The 18,638-nt window shown below is 53.0% G+C and overlaps 1 protein-coding gene across 8 annotated transcripts in view, besides 6 other annotated features; it reads right to left on the bottom strand.

Annotated features, from left to right (window-relative positions):
* SLC6A6 (solute carrier family 6 member 6) overlaps positions 1-18,638 on the bottom strand; it is an 86,774-nt gene that overhangs the window by 21,530 nt on the left and 46,606 nt on the right. For all 8 annotated transcript variants that reach the window (NR_103507.3, XR_940495.4, NM_001134367.3 and 5 more), the window contains 2 exons: positions 9,738-9,870; positions 1,170-1,304 (listed from right to left, as the gene is read on the bottom strand). Coding sequence is in view for 6 of the 8 variants with exons in the window: in NM_001134367.3 (NP_001127839.2) it covers positions 1,170-1,304; positions 9,738-9,870 (268 nt within the window). In the remaining 2 variants the exon portion in view is untranslated. The remainder of the gene's footprint in view (positions 1-1,169; positions 1,305-9,737; positions 9,871-18,638) is intronic.
* Positions 5,898-6,419: an enhancer, noted in NCBI's record as "H3K4me1 hESC enhancer chr3:14502909-14503430 (GRCh37/hg19 assembly coordinates)". NCBI's record gives its function as "activates a minimal SCP1, AML or CMV promoter by ChIP-STARR-seq in primed H9 embryonic stem cells {active_cell/tissue: H9 hESC(primed)}" and the evidence as "EXISTENCE:reporter gene assay evidence [ECO:0000049][PMID:30033119]".
* Positions 6,045-6,094: an enhancer, noted in NCBI's record as "active region_19513". NCBI's record gives its function as "activates an Ori minimal core promoter by ATAC-STARR-seq in GM12878 lymphoblastoid cells {active_cell/tissue: GM12878}" and the evidence as "EXISTENCE:reporter gene assay evidence [ECO:0000049][PMID:35858748]".
* Positions 6,420-6,941: an enhancer, noted in NCBI's record as "H3K4me1 hESC enhancer chr3:14502387-14502908 (GRCh37/hg19 assembly coordinates)". NCBI's record gives its function as "activates a minimal SCP1, AML or CMV promoter by ChIP-STARR-seq in primed H9 embryonic stem cells {active_cell/tissue: H9 hESC(primed)}" and the evidence as "EXISTENCE:reporter gene assay evidence [ECO:0000049][PMID:30033119]".
* Positions 6,942-7,463: an enhancer, noted in NCBI's record as "H3K4me1 hESC enhancer chr3:14501865-14502386 (GRCh37/hg19 assembly coordinates)". NCBI's record gives its function as "activates a minimal SCP1, AML or CMV promoter by ChIP-STARR-seq in primed H9 embryonic stem cells {active_cell/tissue: H9 hESC(primed)}" and the evidence as "EXISTENCE:reporter gene assay evidence [ECO:0000049][PMID:30033119]".
* Positions 7,949-8,449: an enhancer, noted in NCBI's record as "H3K27ac hESC enhancer chr3:14500879-14501379 (GRCh37/hg19 assembly coordinates)". NCBI's record gives its function as "activates a minimal SCP1, AML or CMV promoter by ChIP-STARR-seq in primed H9 embryonic stem cells {active_cell/tissue: H9 hESC(primed)}" and the evidence as "EXISTENCE:reporter gene assay evidence [ECO:0000049][PMID:30033119]".
* Positions 15,547-16,354: an enhancer, noted in NCBI's record as "H3K4me1 hESC enhancer chr3:14492974-14493781 (GRCh37/hg19 assembly coordinates)". NCBI's record gives its function as "activates a minimal SCP1, AML or CMV promoter by ChIP-STARR-seq in naive H9 embryonic stem cells {active_cell/tissue: H9 hESC(naive)}" and the evidence as "EXISTENCE:reporter gene assay evidence [ECO:0000049][PMID:30033119]".

The following is an 18,638-nucleotide window of genomic DNA, read 5'->3' as shown; positions in this document are numbered from 1 at the left end:
GGAGGGCTGTCAGAGCTGGCTTCCTGGAGGAGGCAGCGAGGGTTATGTCCACCTGGCGATGGCCTGGGGACGGGACCTTGCACATGCAAATGGAACATTTATGCTCGAATCCAAGGTGCCTTTCAAGGCAGTACTGAGCTGCAAGGAGCCCCAGAAATCAAACACCCCACCTCCCAGCGACCTAGCATCAGGGTTAAGAGGATTCAGAAGCAGATGGATCTGGATTCCAACCCTGGAATGACAGTGGGCAAGTAAATATCACTCCTGCAGTTTATAGATAGTTTTCACATCTATAAAATGGGCTCCTTTGCCCTACCCCATAGAGCTATTTCCCAGGTTCAAAGAGTGGCGATTCAGCCCAGTGCCAGTTACATGGCAAGCCCGTAAGTCAAGGCTGCTGTCACCACCATTGTTGTTACTGTTTGCAGACCCCCGAGTTAGAATGCAGAAGGAGGTCCCAAGGAACTATGCAGGCAAAGCTGCTCTCCAGAATCTTCACTAAGCAGCTCGTTCCCAGCTGTCCTCCAAGGCTGGCCAACCCCTCTCACAACTGTGTCCTGTCCAGGGGGAAGGGTGGTGGGGAAGGAGAGCACAGGCCCTTGGGAAGCAACCGGAAGGCCCTGGGGATTCAGGTCCTCAAACAAACCCAGAAAATCTCCCAGGGCTTTCTCCACCTCCCCAAGGTCACAAGGCTGAGTGCCAGAAGGTGTGCTTTCGGTATCTGCCCGTGGACCCTCCAAGGCCATTAACTCTGAATTCCACCCTCAGCCAAGGAAGCCCGCAGCTCTCCAGGCCCCGACTCTCCCATCCCCAGGATGCAGCAGCCCTTGTGGCTGCAGTGGGCAGAAGCTGGGTCCGAGCGGGAGACTTGCTCATCAGAAGATTTCTCCCCCTTGGTGCAGGGCCTAAAGCAGCCTCTCTAAGTGGCCACCCTCAGACGTCCTTGACATGAAAAGAGATGCACACAGCTAGAAAGGTCCATCAGCACCGTGGACAGGCACACCCGCCACAGGCCCGGTGGAAAAGTACCAGGGGGCGGTGGCCCAGCTAGACCTGTGCACTGAAGAACCACGGAAGATGTGCTGCCAGTGGCCTCTACATCCTGCCCTGTCCTGTGCCGGCCCAGCCCTGGATGGGAGGGAGGATGGTGTGTCCCAGCCCCACAGTACCTGTGGGTCCTCAAGGCGGGTGATGTCAGGATACAGATAGAACTTGATGCCTGCGCCCGCGCCCGGCAGCGTCAGCCCTCGGACCAGCAGCACCAGGAGCATGGCGAATGGAAAAGTGGCTGTGAAGTAGACGACCTGCAAGGGCGAGAGGGATTCAGGAGGCCATGGGCATCACTTGCTGCTGCTAAGTCTGAGCATCCTCTCAGAGAGGCAGAGGGGAGCACTGGTCAGGATCAGGAGTTCTGGAGCCAGGTTTGCTGTCTTACTTGCTGTGCGGCCTTTGGCACATTGCTTAACCACTCTGGGTCTCAGCTGCCTCATCTGTAATCTGGGTATATACAGGTACCTACCTCACAGATTTCTTTTTTTTTTTTTTTTTTTTTTTAAATTTGAGACGGAGCCTCGCTGTCACCCAGGCTGGAGTGCAATGGCACGATCTCGGCTCACTGCAACCTCCGCCTCCTGGGTTCAAGTGATTCTCCTGGCTCAGCCTCTCGAGTAGCTGGGATTACGGGTGCCCACCACCATGCCCAGCTAATTCTTGTATTTTTAGTAGAGATGGGGTTTCACCAGGTTGGCCAGGCTGGTCTCAAACTCCTGGCCTCAAATGATCCACCTGCCTCAGCCTCCCAAAGTGCTGGGATTATAGGCATGAGCCACAGCGCCAGCCCACCTCACAGATTTACTGAGATTAAATGAAAAACATCCTATAAATAGTTTGTCCCAGGCACCATCTAAGCACAAAATACAGTGGTGGATAAGACAGAAAACAAATCCCTGCCTTCGTGGAACTGACATTCCAGGGCGTAGAGGTGGAAAAAGCAAAATCAGAGAGTAAGCTATCAAGTGCGTGTGTAGAAGCCTCAGCCCAGTGGTTGCCAACCATGGCATGTGCCCATTGCATGCAGGTCATATTAGTTAACAACTAACTACAATGTTGGTATGATTCCTATGGTTAGGGATCAGATAAGCAAGGGTTCAAATCCCAGCTCCGTCCCCTCATTTGCTGTGTGATCTTAGGCACATTGCTTAACCTCTCTGGACCTGTTTCCTCATGAGTAGAATTCAGATAAGAGTAATAGAAGCCCCTCAACAAGGGGTGAGCTGAGGATTCAATAGGATGATGCTTGTAACACTGCCACTCAGTAGGTGCTCCAGAAAGAGGGCCTGTTGTTGACACTGATTTTGCTGGAAGGACGAGACCTTCAGGGAAGAAAATGAGGCCTCTCAAAGGCCCTTAACTGGGAATAGGAAAGGCTCCCCGCTTCACCGGGCCTCTGGGAGACCCATGGCCTTCCCTGGGTCACACTGCATGTTCCAGACAGGCCAAGATCAGGTGTGAGGTGGGGACTAGAAACGATGTGGCCATCTCCTCCCAAAGACCTTCTCTCCTCTTGTCCTGCAAGCGCTGTTTGTGGCTTCAGTTCTCATGGATGGATTTTCCCATCTTATTCAACACAAGGAGTTTCCAGACAGAGATTATGCCTGGGAGGAGTTCGAAGGTGCCTGGCTGAATGGACAGTTCGATCCTAGTGTTTCAGGCAGGGCACTGGCTGAGTAGGAACGTCCCAGGCACAAGCCCACTTCATCCTCACCATGCCCCCCAGGACGGTGGTTTACAGTGGAGAAACTGAGGCTTGGTGGGCTTTAAGGACGTGCCCAGGGCATCAACGGAATCCAGGATTTGAACCCAGAGCCTGTGGAGGGCTAACCTCTGTGCAGAAAGGCATGAAGTGTTTTACTTCGACATGCAGAAAGTTCATGGTGGCCACCTTGAAACATTGAGACTGGTTGGCAGAGCCCTGGGCCGCATCTGGGGATCAGGGGACCTTGGAGGAACCACTGCACAGTCAATGCACCCATTTTACAGGAGAGGAAACTGAGATGAAGAGAACAGGACAAATGTGCCCATGGAGTTGGGGGTGCAGTGCCAGGGCACTGCTGGGGCCCAAGTATGTAACAGACACTGACCAATAGTGACAGAGCCCCAAACCTCACCTAGCTGGCACCACGACCCTCGACAGAGCAAATTCTTGTGGCCATGATCCCTTTGAGTAGAAACAATGAGAAAGGGGCTTTGGAAAAGGGCAAAAAGGAAGCTTTCAGGGCCTGCTTAGCTCAGCTGCCCTCAGCCCAACAACCCCTAGGCAGCGTTTATTGAGCACTTACTGTGTGCCTAGCACTGTTCCAAATGCTGTGACGTCTATTTTCACTGGCCCGTGCCCTAACCCTCTGAGGTAAGTTGTATTACTATCTCCATTTTGCAACAATAAAACTGAGGCCCAGAGAGAGTCCATCACTTGCCCAGGGTCACGTGGGCTTAAGCAACAGAATGGGGACCTGCCCCACAGCCCACACATAGCAGACCAGCAAAAAGCCTCCCACAACTGGCAGTTTACTGATTCTCCCCAAGACCAGAGGGCAGCCAGTAGGGAGGCCCTCAGGTCTGAAGCCAAGCTTAGAGGCTGGCTTGCCATGAGACCTCCAGGAAGCCGCTGTCCGCTCTAGACTGTTTCCCCACCAGGAAGTAAAGGGCTGGGACCGTAGGAGCTCTGAGGTTGCCTCCCACTCTGCCACTCTAGGTCGAGGGGTAGAGAGGCTGTGGGTCAGCTGGGGAGCCACCTCTACCAGGGGTTGCACGCTGCCTCTGCCACCCCTTGCTGGTGACCTGGGCCTCAGCTTCCCCATCTGTCCACTGAGGATAAGGGAACGCTGACCTTGCTCGATGGCCCCTGGCCTGCGGTGAGCATTCAAGAAGCCTCTTTGGCCGGCACTGTCAGGATGGCTCTCCGACACTGACAGGCTGGGCCCTACTGCTGCCTCTGCCCCCGGGCGTCCTTTGTTCCTCCAGGCCTCAGTTTCTCCAGCCACCGTCATCTCTTCTCCTTGAGGCCAGGAGCCTACATGATTTCCCGAGGATGGGAAGGCAGACGTGGAGGGCGGGGGCACATCAGGAAGCCACAGAAGGGGGGAAAGAAGTGAAAAAAGAAAACCAACCTGCCTCTCCCTTCCTGAGGACAGGCGGACAGGCGGCCAGGCGCCCCGACCAGTTCCCACCTCTGGGGCCCTTTGTGGGCCACACCCGGGCTGGCGAACAATAGCTGCTGACAGCAGCCCCGCAGGGGTCTCCAGAGGGCGGCCACTTCAAAGCCAGCCAGGCCTCCACTGGGCCAAGCAACCCAGTGGTCTGTGACCAGAGGGCTTTGTGTCAGGGACAGGGGTGTGGAGGTGGCTTTCTTTGTTTTCACGTAGTTAGTTTATTTAACAAGCACTTATGCAGTGCGGATTTTGTGCGGGGCACTCAGCTAAGGGCTTCGTGAGTTTTAACTCATTTAATCCTCAGACAACTGAGAAGAGCCAGGCATCAGCCTCACCTGCATTTTCTAGATGAGGAGACTGCCCAGAGAGGTGGGGGCACCTGCCTGCAATCACAGTTACTGGTGGTGGATGCGGGATGGATCCAGGCCAGCTGGTGTCAGGTCCCCACACCTTTGGGATGTGTGTCATTGTTCCTCCCCAAATCCTGGTCACGCCACCTCAGCCGTGTGAAGGGAAAATAAAATCTCAGGACCCCAAACTCACTATGCAGAAGGAAAAAGTTAAGCTTGGGAAGTGAGTCACACACACGCACAAAACCGGCCTGCTTTCTGTTCTTCAGCAGAGAGTTGTGAGATACAGGCCACGTATCTCCCCAGGCGGCCTCCCTCACCCTGACAATGTAAACTCACAGCTCATCTTCACAGGTGCCGGACAAAGAGACAAGAAATGAGCCATCCACCCACACATCTAGGCATGTGTCTCCTTCCTCCACCGTGTGTACACACCCTACCCTATGGAAAATGTGTGTGTTCTCTACCCTATGGAAAATGCAGATTTGCTGAGAGACATCGTGCATAATTACCTGAATTACCTGTTCCTCTGTCCCTTCCTGCTGTTTCCCCTTACATTTTTTTTTTAAGACACGGTCTCTGTCGCCCATGCTAGAGTGCAATGGCGCAATCAAAGCTCACTGCAGTCTCAACTTCCCGGGCCTAAGAGATCCTCCTACCTCAGCCTCCTGAGTAGCTGGGACTACAGGTACGCGCCACGATGCCCAGCTAATTTTTGTATTTTTTAGTAGAAACAGGGTTTTGCCATGTTGACCAGGTTGGTCTCGGACTCCTGAACTTAAGCAATCTGCCCTCCTCGGCTCCCCCAAGTGCTGGGATTACAGGTGTGAGCTACTGTGCTGGGCCTCCCCTTTAGTGTACTGAGGTTCTCAAAACTCTCTTTGGAAAAAGTGCAGGCCACAGATCCTACTGTGGCTCAGTCTCTTTCCTGAGCACATCTTCAACCTTGGCAAAATAAACCTCTAAGCTCATCGAGCCCCCTGTCTCAGATGGGTTTTGGTTTACAGTAGCAGGTTTGAAAGCCACCCTTGCTTTGCAGAATCTGCTGCTCCGAGGACAAGCCCCTGAGAGCCATGCTTTCAACTTTTCTGTGGCTCCCCCGGGATCCCCAAGGGACAGGCTGGTGCTAGCTGCTGCCAGGGGCCTCTGGTGGTGGCCCAGCAGGCCTTGCTGTGGGACGTGGTATTTTTCCACTCTTGCTGGTGAACCTCCGTGGCTCCTCTGAGCCCTAGACCCAAAAGCCCTGTGGCCCAACTGTCCAGGAAACTCACAAGGACAACTTTTCTCCATCCCCTCTGGGCAGTAGAAAAGAGGGTGGCTGAGCAGCAGGGGGAGCCGGGCATCCTTTGGGAGGTAAGTGTCTGGGCAGCAGCAGCAGCAGGGGGAGCCAGGCATCCTTTGGGAGGTAAGGGCCTGGGCAGCAGGGCTCGCCATTGATCCCAGAGATCCTAGGCAGGCCCTAAGGATCCTCAGCGCCCTGGCTGTTGGTGAGGGGCTTCACTAACTCATTTCACATAAGGGGAAGGTGAGGCTGAGAAAGTGAAAGGGCCTTGTTCAAAGTCATGCAGTCTGGGGGATCCAGAGCTAAAAGGACCTGGCTCTGACTACCCCCTGCTTTGTTTTTAACCAGGCAAAAAGAGCTGCTCCGGAGGCCAACAGCGAAGAGCCCCAGCCTCAGTGAATGTCCATGCTCACTCCGGGGCCTCCTCCCCTGTGCGTCTGCAGGGCTTGCACTTCCTGTGTGAGTGTCTGGATCTCTGCCCCCTTCCCAGACCCCACTCTGTGACAGCAGGGACATGCCTGCCACACGCCCTACTTACTGCATCCTCAGGCTGGCACGGGGGTGGGCACAAGAGGCGGAAGAGTGTGGGGCACCCAGGTCGGGAGTGGGGCCGCCTGGGTCCAAATCCCAGCACAGCCACTGACAAGCTGTGGGATGCTGGGCAAGGTAATGAGCCTCCTTGAACCTGAATTTCCCCATCTGTAAAATGGGACTAATAACTGCACATACTCCAAACCATGAGGAGGATTCAATGAGCTACCTAGCAGCACTGAGAATGCTGCCCGGCACTCACAGGCTACTGCGCTTTCGCCACCGTTATCACTATTTGTTGAATGGATTAATGGCAGCCTAGTTTCAACTTCCTGGAATAGTGAAAATTACAAAAAAGGAAACTGCAACCTAGAGAGGCAAAGTGACTTGAACTCAGATCCTGAGCCTCTCAGGCTGGGGCTCTCCCTCCATTACCCTCCAACTCCTCCTTGCTGGACTAGACACGAGAGCAGGGCCTTGGCAGGATGAGGTCCATCTGCTGCCTGTGGGCCCAGCCCCCACGTCAGCCACAAACCTGGTCTGTGGCCAGGGCTGGAAGCCATGGCCAGCGAGCAGGCAGCCTCTCAGCCATGGGGCTTGAGGAAGTTCACAGAGCCTGACTGTGTTTGTCTTGGCTTCTCTGGCCTGGCCCAGGCTCTGCTATTGTTCTGGGAATCACGCCCACCCCTGGGAGGCCTACAGCCACCCCACGAAGGAGGTTGTTGCTAAGGGTGAGAAGGGAGGACCCGTGGAAGATCACGTCTTTGCTCGGCCACAGCTGCAGCCTGGCACCCTCTCTCTGGCTTTGACACTATTCTCCTGTATTCTGCATTATGTCTCAAAAGTTGCTCACTGTCCCTGGCGGACATCAGCCTCCTCCATCAGACTGGGTGCTCCCCAAGGGTCTGGGTCAAACACACCTCAGGGCCTTTGCACAGGCTGTCACTTCTACCTGGAGATTTTCCCCTCCACATACTCACCTGGCTCAGCCCTTCACTTCCTTCACATCTTTGCCTAGAGTCACCTTCTTGGTAGGTCTTGCCTGGCCACCCTATTCAAAATTGCTCCCAACACTCCCCATTCTCCTTCTCTGCTTGACTTTTTCCCATAGCTCGCATCCCCATTTGACTCCTATATATTTTTCCCATTCGTTTTGTTACAACCTGACTCTTCCTGCCAGGCCATCAGCTCCTGGAGCACAGGAATTTTTGTCTGTTTTGTGAACCACTGCATGTCCCCCAGCCCTGTTTCTACAAAGCACCTGGCACACGGTAGAGGCTCAAAAAATACTAGTGCGTAAGTAAGTGATGATGTCTCTAGCACTGCTCAGGACCAGTGCTCCACAGAAACTTTCTCACTTCTGTGTGGGGAAACTGAGGCAGAGTGAAGAAGGGCATGGTGGCATGTGCCTGTGGTCTCAGCTACTCAGGAGGCTGAGGTGGGAGGATGGTTTGAGGATGGCTTGAGCCCAGAAAGTGAGCTGAGATCAAGCCACTGCATTTCAGCCTGGGCAACAGAGCCAGACCCCACCTCAAATTACAAAAAAAAAAAAAAAAAAAAAAAAAGAAGAGAATTAGCATTTACAGAACCGTCTGTGCCAAGCATTGTGCCAGGTGTTTAACACACCTCATTTTAACCCTACTATCACCTATTTTATAGAGGAGGAAACTGAGGCTCAGAGAGGAGGAAGTGACCTTGGACAAGTCACTTGACCTCCCTAAGCCTGAGTTTTCTCATTGTTTAAAGAAAGGAATAAAATGGTGTGCTTGTGAGACAGAGAACCGGGGTAGCACAGTGAAGGTGCTCTCCAAGGAGGTGCAGGAGTTACCCATGTCCCCTGCTCCCGCCTGTTCCGGGCAGGACCGTGCTCACTGGTGGGCACGGGCAGGTGTCCAAGGCCTGGACTGCTTCCCTTCCACCCTTGGCTTCAGGATGGCAGGGTGGTTCTGCCCCAAGAAACAAGCAGAGGGCACTGTGTGTGTTGGAGGGGGGTGCACAGGATCACCCCCATTCTACCTCTTGCAACCCTGGAGTCCCAGGTCTTGCAGGGTAAGTGACTGGAATAATTACTTGGATCTCTACAAATCTATGATTTTGCCTCTTTGGGGGCTCTTTATCCAGGGAGACACATTCCTCAACCCTCAATTCCACTGTGTGGCTGGGGCAGCTAAGGTCACTGCCCACAGCTCCATCTGGAATGCTACCTTAAGACGCTCCTTTGACTTTTGGGGGTTTTTTGATCTTAAAGAGACGTTCCCTCTTTTGGGATGTGAGTCACTGGGGAAAGCGTTGACAGGGCACTATCTAAAGGCAGATGAGCAAACGCCTTTGTTCTTTATAGCTTAGGGCCCTGGGTTCAGGCTCACACCTGTGATCACAACATACCCCCGCACCAGCCTTTGGCATCAGCAAAGCCATGACAACAGCCAGTGTCTAGGTTTTCAGGGAACAGTTCAGCTCTAATTAGTAACAGGTAACATTTCAGTTATGGGTTAACATTTCCACTATTGCTAATGTATCAGTTATACCTAAAACCTTAAAATTACAAGCTAACATTTTACATTTGTTAATCACTAACATCCTAGTCACTATGTGACATATTAATCAGCAGCAAACACTCCAGTTATGAATAATACTTTGGTTAACAGCTAACACCCTGGCCATGAGTGGATGATTTAATTATCAGCTAACGCTTTCCTGAACAACTAACATTGGAGGTGCCGGCTGAAATGTTAGTTATAACTCAGTTAATCTGATTTAGCAGCTAAAATCTAAGCCAGTGCCTCTCAACCCATAAAGTGCTCTTGGATTATCTGGGGATAATGTTACAACGCAGCCTTGGAGTTTGTAGGTTTGGGGCAGGCCCACGAAGCTCCCTGCAATGCTGATGGGAATGCTTGTGGCCCCCTCTGCAAAGCGAGGGTCCATGCTGTGGCTAATGGCTCTTACCACGGTTGCTGGCTAACCTCCTGTTACCAGCTAACCTATTTATTAGAAGCCCAACATTAGTTATCTGCTACCATCTGCACTGACTGCCAATACCTTGAGATGAGAAAGCTGTGGTGGATGGGGCTAGCTCGTGTAGGCTCCTGAGAGCCTGGCTCTTCAATATTCAGGAATTCTGTGAGCTGGTCATTAAACTGTGGACAGCTTGAAAGCAAACATGGTGGGAGCACTGACACCATGAAATGGACAAACGCTACAACAAACCTGAGTTTTACTTTTTTCCAGAGGGCGGGCTTACCAGCACGCCACCACTGGCCACCTCCCTCTTGGGGCGTGGCTAATTGCAGGCGGGAAGTGGGGGAGAGGGCCAGCCTGGCACAGCTCTCCAGGAGGCAGGGGACGGACAGAAGTCCAACTTACCTTCCCAGTGGACCTGACGCCCTTCCAGATGCAGAAGAAACACACTAGCCAGACTAAAAGAAGGCAGAGAGCGAGGTCCCATTTCAGAGAGCCTGGGTGGTCGATTCCAGGGGACAAGCTCAGCACGTTGCGCCTTGAAGCAAACACAGAGCCAGGAGTCAGTGAGGGGCCTGGCCCTGGAGTAGAGAGAGCCAAGGCTCGGACATTAACAGGCTGGGGGTCAAATCCCACCTGAGGCGCTGCATTTACATAAGTCACCTCACCTTTCCAAACCCAGGAATCCCCATTTGTCTTGAGACAGAGTTGTTGGAAAGAAAAGAAAAGGATAGACTCAGACTCCAGATTCAGGCAAACCCAGGTTCAACTTAGTCTGGCCTCAGGCAAGTTAAGGAACCCCTGAGCCTCAGTTTCCTCATCTGTGAAATGGGCACTGATTTTCTGTTGGGACTTCAGCAGAACCTTCTTCAGTGCCAACCGTGGGCCAAACACTAGGTTCAATTCTCAGCTCTACTGTTTGTTCCGTCACTGACAGAACGAAGTTAGCCAACTTTCCCAGACCTCTGGCTCCTCGTCTATAAAGTGTTGCCCTCCCCCAATATTGTCCCTTATTATTTTATTCATCCCTGTGTAACCTGGATCTCTCACTAAAATGTAAGTCACACAAGGTCCTAAATTCAGGGTCTGGGATGCAGCTAGCACTTGATAAACCTTTGCAGATGTTAACTGTGGTGTTCAGATGCCCAGGGAAGTTTCAGGCACACAGCCGGCACCTAAGCAATGCTGGTTTCCTCCCCTGCCCTGCCAGGGTTTTGAGGGTCTCAGAGAGAGGCAGGTAAACGGTTTTAAGGATAATTGGCACGGGACAGTCACCAACCCTGCCCAGGATGACACGGCAGAGCGTGGGTCTTTGGAGTCCAGACTTAAGCCTCCCACCAATCCGAGCTGATTCCTGCTGCCCTGCTAAACAAGCACACAAGTACCTACTCCCAGACATTCTTATGGATGACAGCATCTGAAAGCAGGCCAGGGCGATGCAGGGTACTGACAGCCCAGGCCATGAAACTTGATGCCCAGAAGTGGCACCCATGGTCCCAGAGCTCTGACTGCTGCAACAGTGATCGAGGACAGCCACGCTGAGAACAGAGACATCGGCCCTGCCCACTGGGCCTCCCAGGTTACCTGTCCACCACAGGCTGCTGGCCACAAGAGACAGGGTCTGCATGCTCCAGGGTGTTTGCGAACCCCTGGAAGAAGCTGAGTTTCCTTCTAATGGGAGTCAGCTCCCTGTCTGAAGGTCACACTCCCATGCAGGAGGGGCAGGGAGTGAAGTGTGACTCTGTGCCTCAGTTTCCCCTTTTGTAAAATGAGAATAACAGCTCCTGCCCAGGATGCTCTTGGGGAAGCATTCTGGAACATCCCAAGCTTTCAGCCAGTCCGTGGGATTACCCCCACAGTCAGGGCTCTGGTTCTCGGAACACACACCAGGCTAGACCCTTTATCATTTTTATTTTATTTTTTTTAGAGAAGCTTCAACATAAGGACTTTGAATAAATCCAAGATTCCCTTCTCAACTGGTATTCAAGCAAGGCCTTTCTTTAGTTTACTGCTGTGTTCCCAGCACCTAGAACAGCATCTGGCCCATTGGAGGACCTCAATAAAGACCTGTTGAGTGAATGAGTGAATGAATGGACTCAACTGGGAGGACAGCAAGTTCACATGTCACTGTAGGACCGATCCGTGAAATACTCCCACTAACAGCCATAAGACAGGACAGCTTTTCTTTGCCCTCTTCTTGCTGGTCACAGCGACATCAGTGGGCTCCCCCTGGCACCAGGGATGTCAACATGATAATGCTGATGGACGAAATAAAAGCTACCAGCAACCACCTGCTTTCCAAGGCCTTTTCAGTTTATCTCATCTGATCCCAGGAGTAGAGGCCATTCACCCCATTTTACAGATAGGGAAAATGAAGGCTTGGTGGGTCCACTTGCCCATGGTCACAGAGCCAGCAGGTGACACAGAGCTGCCACCCCAAGCCCACACCTGTCTGACTCCAAAACCAGTGCTCTCTCTACTCCACTACACTGTTGGTCTGGTTTTAAGAGAAAACAGAGCCTAAATTTTAACAATCTCTTCAGTCCTCTGCTATATGCTGATTTAACAATCTCTTCAGTCCTCTGCTATATGCTGGGATCACCTGGCACCTTGGGGCAGGGGGCATCCCTATAGGGCAGGCTGGCGGCCAACCACATCCCAGCTGGGGCCCTGCCAAGCATGTGGATCTGGCGCCTGCCACGGCTTTAAAACAAAAAGCCTTTCCTCATTCTGCAGGGCTCAGCACCTTCAGTGAAAGCCAGGGCAGGCTGGGCAGTGGCCCAAGACTTCCTTGTGAATGGGCAGCACCAGGAGAGGAGGAAGAGCACCTTTCCACCATCTCCCAGGCCCACCAGGTGCACTATCCTCCGTCTCAAAGGAAGCCTCCCTGAGGTTCTGGAAGACTCACTGTAGAGCCCCTGTCTGTCTTCCGCTGTCCTGTCCCACGCTGGGGAAATGTCTGTGTTGCCCACCAGACCCTGGACATCCCAAGGACAAGGGCTTTATATGCTGATAAGATGCCCAGTCACAAGACAGCCTTTCCTTTGATTCTTCAGGGCAAGCTGGCTGAGAAGCTTAATACTCCAGAGCCCTGATTCTGACCATACCCAGCCTGCAGCCAGCTCATCTAACAGCATCTGCCCTTCTCCTACCACCATGCTGGTCAAACCAGTGGTGCCCAATACTGATGGGAGGCTGCCACACTGACTTGTTCGGGGCAGCTGACCAGCTATGGAGTCTACAACAAAGAAAATGAGTCCTCCGCCTCCTTCTCCATTGCTGGTGGTAGTCCCTTTGTAGGACCTCATGGTGCCATCCAGGGACGTTTGCTTTGATCAGGCAATTCCATTCCTAGGATTACCTCCTATAGTTACATCTGCATGGGTGGCCAGAGACATAGTACCCCCCTCAAGCAGTGCTGTCTGTAGAGTGAAAGATTGGAAATGACTCAAATGTCCATCAAGAGGAGCTTGTAAACTGTGGAGCAGGCACACACTGGAATACAATGCAGCGGTGTAAAACAGGAAAGTTCTGTGTCCTACTAAGGAGCTCGGTCCTGGAGACAAAATGCAGGAAAGAAGCAAGGTGAAGAACAGTGCATGAGACATGCTCCCTACCGTGTAAAGAGGGAGGGAGACAGAGACACATTTGTACTTGAATACACACACACTATTTTTGGCAGGACACACAAGAAGCTGGTGGCAGTTGCTGCCTGTGTGGGGGAGGGGGATGCACTTTGCAAAGTATTTTTGCACTATTTCAATGTTTTTAATGTGCACATATCACCTTTATAAAAGTTATTTTAAATTCTTGAAAAGCTTTATAACGGGCCACGTGAACATACTAGGGCTGAAACCAATGTATCTCATCAATCAGGATTTGTCACAACACAGCCTGACACAGGCTCAGGGCCAGAGCAACCGACATTCTTTCCAAAGACATCTCGGGCAGCCATGCAGGCTGAATCTCAGGCAGGCCCCTCCACAGTCCCTTCCGTGTCTGACTTCCAGGGTCTTCCCAGCCAGAAAGCAGCCGATCAGGATCCCAGCCAATCCCTACCCAGCAGTGAGGGCGTGCTCAGTAAACTGTAGAGTGTCGTGCCGAGGGAACGCCATGGCGCCCTGCCACTCACCTGTGCCTCCTAAGTACCCCAGGAGGAAGCTGCACAGGCTCCCCACAGTGTTAACACAGCTCTCCCAGCACAGTCTCTGCCCCTGTCCAGGCCCCTGACGCCCCCAGGATGATTTCCAGCAGCCTCTTCGTTGGTCTTCCTCCCTCTACTCCTGCCCCAACAAGTCAGAGGGAATCTATCAATACCTATGTCAGGCCACATCCCTCCTCTGCTCCACGTCCTCCCAGGGCTCCCGCTCCCCGGCCAACACGGCCCTTCTGACCCTGCCATTCAGACTCACTTTTAAGAGCGAGGGGGTGCCAATTAGTAAACACACAGGTGAACGGGTGTAAAGGGGAAGTGTTCTGGGCAGGCTGCGGGTGCGGGCGCCCAAGCCCTACCCTCATCCCCCAGACTGCAGCATCACTTCCTCCTCCTTCAGCCACCCTAGCTGCTATCTGGGCCATTCCCTGAACAGGTCGAACGCGATCCTGCCTTAAGGCCTTGGACCTAACTGCTTCCCTCAGCCACTTGTTCCAAAACTCCCTCGCTCCTTTCCTTCAGGTCTCTGCTCAAAGGCCACATCCCCAGGGCAGCTGTTCCTGGCCACCCTCTGTAAAAAACATCCCTGGTCACTGTCCTTCCCCTGCCCTGAGCCTATTTCTCATCACTTATTGCTTTTATATTATAATTGTACATGTGCTATCTATTTAATGTCTGCCTGTCCCACTAAAATGTCAGTCCCAAGAAGGCAGGGTCTATGTCTGTCTTGATCACTGAACAGTGCCTGGTACCTAATAGGTGCTCAGCTGACATTAATTGAGTAAATTAATTATACCCATTTGGTTGATGGGGAAACTGAGGCTGAGACAAGTTCAGGAATGCACCTGAAATCACTCAGATAGAAATCAGCCATGGACCTGGTTCCTTTTTACTGATGCCACCCTGGGGCCAGCCACCTCATGTGCCGGGCATGGTGCTGGCCTTGGCAAGGGCCCCATCATCCCCAGCTTCCTCGTCTGTCTCATACAGAGGGAGGAGACTCCGAGGTAAGCTGCATTCTTGTCCAAGAATAGTAATGATTCACTCCAGGGTGGGATCCAAAAAAGAACTGCCTGGACGTCTGTTTTGAGTCGGCCGCCCTGCTGCCGTCCAGCCGGCACTCAGAGATGTAAATACGTCCTCCTAGCGGGCCAAATCGTTTCCTTTTGACTGCACGCCAGCCATTTATTGGCCATGGCTCTCCCCTGGAGACTAGCAGAGGCAACAATTATAAAAGGGCCCGTCCGCCCAGAGCACGGGGCCGTGCAGCCTTTCTCCACCGCCTCCTCTTTCCGACAGCTGCAGGGGAAGATTGGCTGAGCAGGCCTTGTTTGCAAATATGACTCATTTCTTTGATTCTAATAAAGTCTAATGATACGTGCCGAGCTCCCAGGGGGTCTGGAGGAGCCTAGGAGGAAGGCACGGCTCCAGCCTGATGGAGGGCCTCTGGCCAGGTCTGGCCCCGCCTGTCCTCCAGGGCGACCTTGGGACAGAGGTGACCCCAGACAGCAAGGAGAAGCAGGGGACAAAAGCTCTGCTTCCCCATCCCAGAGCAACTCGGCGCTCAATTATAAAGCCAGCATGAAATGACTGTCTCTGGGGCCCCAGCGGCTTCTCATGAGGATCTGGGAAAGTGCAGCTCACTGGCTTCTGCTGAGAATGGTGACTTAGCACTGCACACAGGGTGGGTGTAGGGGGTCCAGGCCGAGAGAAGACCCCAAGAGTAACCTGGGAGCGGGGAGACACACATGTGGCACAATGTGACCTGTGACCATGGACTTGGGCTCCCAAGCCTGGCCCGGGCTCTGGGCTGGTGGCTGGTGGGGACACAGACAAAAGGTTAGCTGGAGGCAGGATGCAGTGCTGAATGCCAGGGCTGGAAGCTTTGCTCCTTCTAGCTGTGCACGTGACCTCGGGCAGGGCACTGCACGTCTTGCATCGTCAGTGTCCCGTGGCCCCCTGCAAAGCACATCCCTGGTCTTAGCTCCAAAACACTCAAGCCAGGCTGTGAGTCATTGGGACCACGCTACTTCTGTTTACAGAGGAGAGAAGAGGGCGTGGAGAGGTGAGGTCACTGCCTCAAGGTCGTGCAGCTGGGATGTGTGGGAGCCAGAGTTGAGCTTTGTCTCCCCCCACAAGGAAAGGGGAATGTCACCCATTGCTGCTCTGCTGCCTCCTCTGTGAAAACAGAGGGAGGAAGGGCTGGCAGGGAGGGTCAACAGGGACCTTTCCTGCCCAGAAGAAGCTGGGAGATGGCTCCGCTCCCCTGGTGCCTCGTACCCCTGACTTCCAGAGACTACTGAGCACCTGCCAGCAGCACCTGCCAGCAACTCCTGCTGAAGGAAAGGACGGGCCAGGGACCTATGCATCTGGGGCATATAAGAGAAGTGAAAGGAAGCAACAGCTGGGGCTGGGCTTCAGCTTGAGGGTCACCAAGACCAACCTTCGAGGGTATCCTCACTGCTCTGCCGCCCAACTGGCTCCCAGACAGCAACGCGCAAAAAATCCTGACAAGATTCACTCGAGAGAAACCCCAGGGTCAGACGCTGCAGGGTTGGTGGCTATCTTCAGGGGGATTCAGATAAGTTTCACCCAAAGGGAACCCAGACCTGCTGAAGGCTGAGGTCTCCGAGGCCCCGTATACAGTCAGTGCTCAGCATACATCCAGCCTCTCTTTCCCACCAGTGTGTTCCTTAAGGAATGTCCAAAAATCACATTCAATTCAGTCACACCACCTCCCTTCTCATATACCTTCTATGGTTCCTCCTCCAAGAGAACAAAGTTCAAATGTACCCGCCTAACATTCAAGGCTTTGACCCTTCTCCCTGGCCCTACCTGGCCCTCACCCGTGCATCCTATGCTCTAGCCAAACCATCCCAAATACTCATGTGCTTTCAGAATGCTGACTCTGCATGGGCTGTTCCTCCTACCTAGACTGTCTTGTCACTCTCCTTTTCTGCCTAGTGAACTTCTACTCATCCTTCAAAGCCCAGCTCATATGCTCCTCCATCTGCAGATGGGGAAGTGAGCCAGAGAGAGGTAGTGATTTGCTGCTCCACGCAGGTGGATGAAGACATGGAACTAATGAGGAGATTCAGCACCCAGTGAGCACTTGCTGTGTTGAAATAGTCTCAATCCTTTCTGCCAGGGTGAGATCATAGCATGGGAAAAGCCATGAGAGGGTTCTGAGCTGGGAATTAACAGGTTGGATTCAGAATTGGTTACGGAGGTGCAAGGATAAGGCACGGAGAGATCCAAGAGGCCAGTGCTGGTGTCCAGGAGAGTGATGGGGGTCCCATGGGGGTGACAGTGCATGGGGACAGTGCTCAGATTGTAGGTATACTCTGAAGGGGGAGCCAAGAAGATGTGTGAATTGGATGTGGGATTTGAGGTAGAAAGAAGAGTTTTGGATGATGCCTAGCTATTTCCTCTACTTAGAGACTGAAAGAAATGACAGGGGCAAGTTCCTAGTACTATGCTCACAGGAGTCAACTATTCCCTACTGGTTCTCTTGCCTTTCCACCATTGCATGCCAAGAAAAGAGAAGGCTCTTGAAGGCAGGAGGCCGGGTCTTTCTTGCCCACGGCACCTGGCTCAGGGCTGGAACTGAGCTGTCCCCTGGTGTAGCTCTCTGGCCTCGGCCTGTGCTGTGAAGGCAGGTCACAGGAGGCAGTGCTGGTCTTGCCTAAGCCTGCTTTCCAGGCTCCTGCTCCATGGCCCTCAATCTTCCCCAGGGTTCTAGAAAGAGGGCAGCTTATTTGTGAATGTTCAGGTGGTCTCACAAAGCTCTGCTGGAATCTGGGGCTAGGGGTGCAGGGGTAGGAGAGGTGTGAGAGCTGGAGTGGGAGGTGAGTACCAAGCTGGCAGCCAGGGTTCTTTGGACAGAGCAAATCCATCTGGATCATGCAGAAGCTTGGGAAGATGCCTGCAGAACCAGACACTTTCCAAAGATAAATACTGTCTCAGTGTCTTCCAGGCCAGAAAATGGAGCTGGGGTGCTCAGAATGGAGATTCTGGAAGGCAAGGGTCCCAGAATACCCCCGAGGGCCCGGTCCCTCTGGAAGGTGTGAGTGAGGACTGGCCAACCTGAGGACCTCACATTGCTCCCAAGTGTTCCCTCTCTAAGACCCCTGGGTCCTAGACAACAGCGAGACAAGCAGAGCCCAGAAGAGGATGACCCCTTTACAATAGGGGGTGATTCTTTAAGTTCATAACACACAAAGAAACTGCCCTGAGGGGTAGTTTTATGCACTATGAGGGCACTCGATAAATAATAATGGATTCTGGCCAGGCACAGTGGCTCACGCCTGTAATCCCAGCACTTTGGGAGGCTGAGGCAGGCAGATCATGAGGTCAGGAGATTGAGACCATCCTGGCCAACATGGTGAAACCCCATCTCTACCAAAAATACAAAAATTAGCTGGACATAGTGGTGTGTTCCTGTAATCCCAGCTACTTGGGAGGCTGAGGCAGGAGAATTGCTTGAACCAGGGAGTCGGAGGTTGCAGTGAGCCGAGATCACGCCACTGCACTCCAGCCTGGCAACAGAGTGAGACTCTGTCTCAAAAACAAAATAACAGTAATAATAATAATAATAATGGATTCTCAGGGCTGGCCACCCAGGATCTCATGCAGTCAGGGCCATCCTACAACCTTGGGATGTCAGCACTGCCATCTCCCCAGGTGCAGGTGAGGATACCACGGCCCAGAGAGCGGGATACTTCCGCCTAAGCTAGAAGTGGCAAAGTGAGGGTTCAAACCCAGGCAGGCCAGTCAATGTCTGAGGCAAGGAGGTCCCAGCAAACGCCTTCAGTAACTGGCTGAGTGCCAGTGTCCAGGAGTGGGGAAGGCCCGGTTTTCAGGCCACTCCAAAAACAGCAGAGAAAGGACAAGGCTGTGCCTTGGACCCCATTCAAGTGAGAAAAAGGAAGTGCCAGCCTTTCTTTGTCTGTGAACTCAGCTCCCCAGGGAGCGGGGAACCGAGGGGCAATGATTGTGCTTCCAATGTCCCTTTTGTTTGTAAGTGGAAAATATACACACTAGAGGAACCCCCAGTGACAGTGGGCCTAAGGACCTGCCCTGAGCATACACTGAAGGCCTGGAGCAGCGACAGTGACACGGACCGACCAAGTAAGGGCTCCACACCAGTGAGG

Source organism: Homo sapiens, chromosome 3 (genome assembly GCF_000001405.40).
Source record: "Homo sapiens chromosome 3, GRCh38.p14 Primary Assembly".
In the NCBI taxonomy this organism is placed as follows: domain Eukaryota; kingdom Metazoa; phylum Chordata; class Mammalia; order Primates; family Hominidae; genus Homo; species Homo sapiens.
Note: the sequence above shows the minus strand (reverse complement) of the source record. Positions and strands in the feature narration are given on the sequence as shown.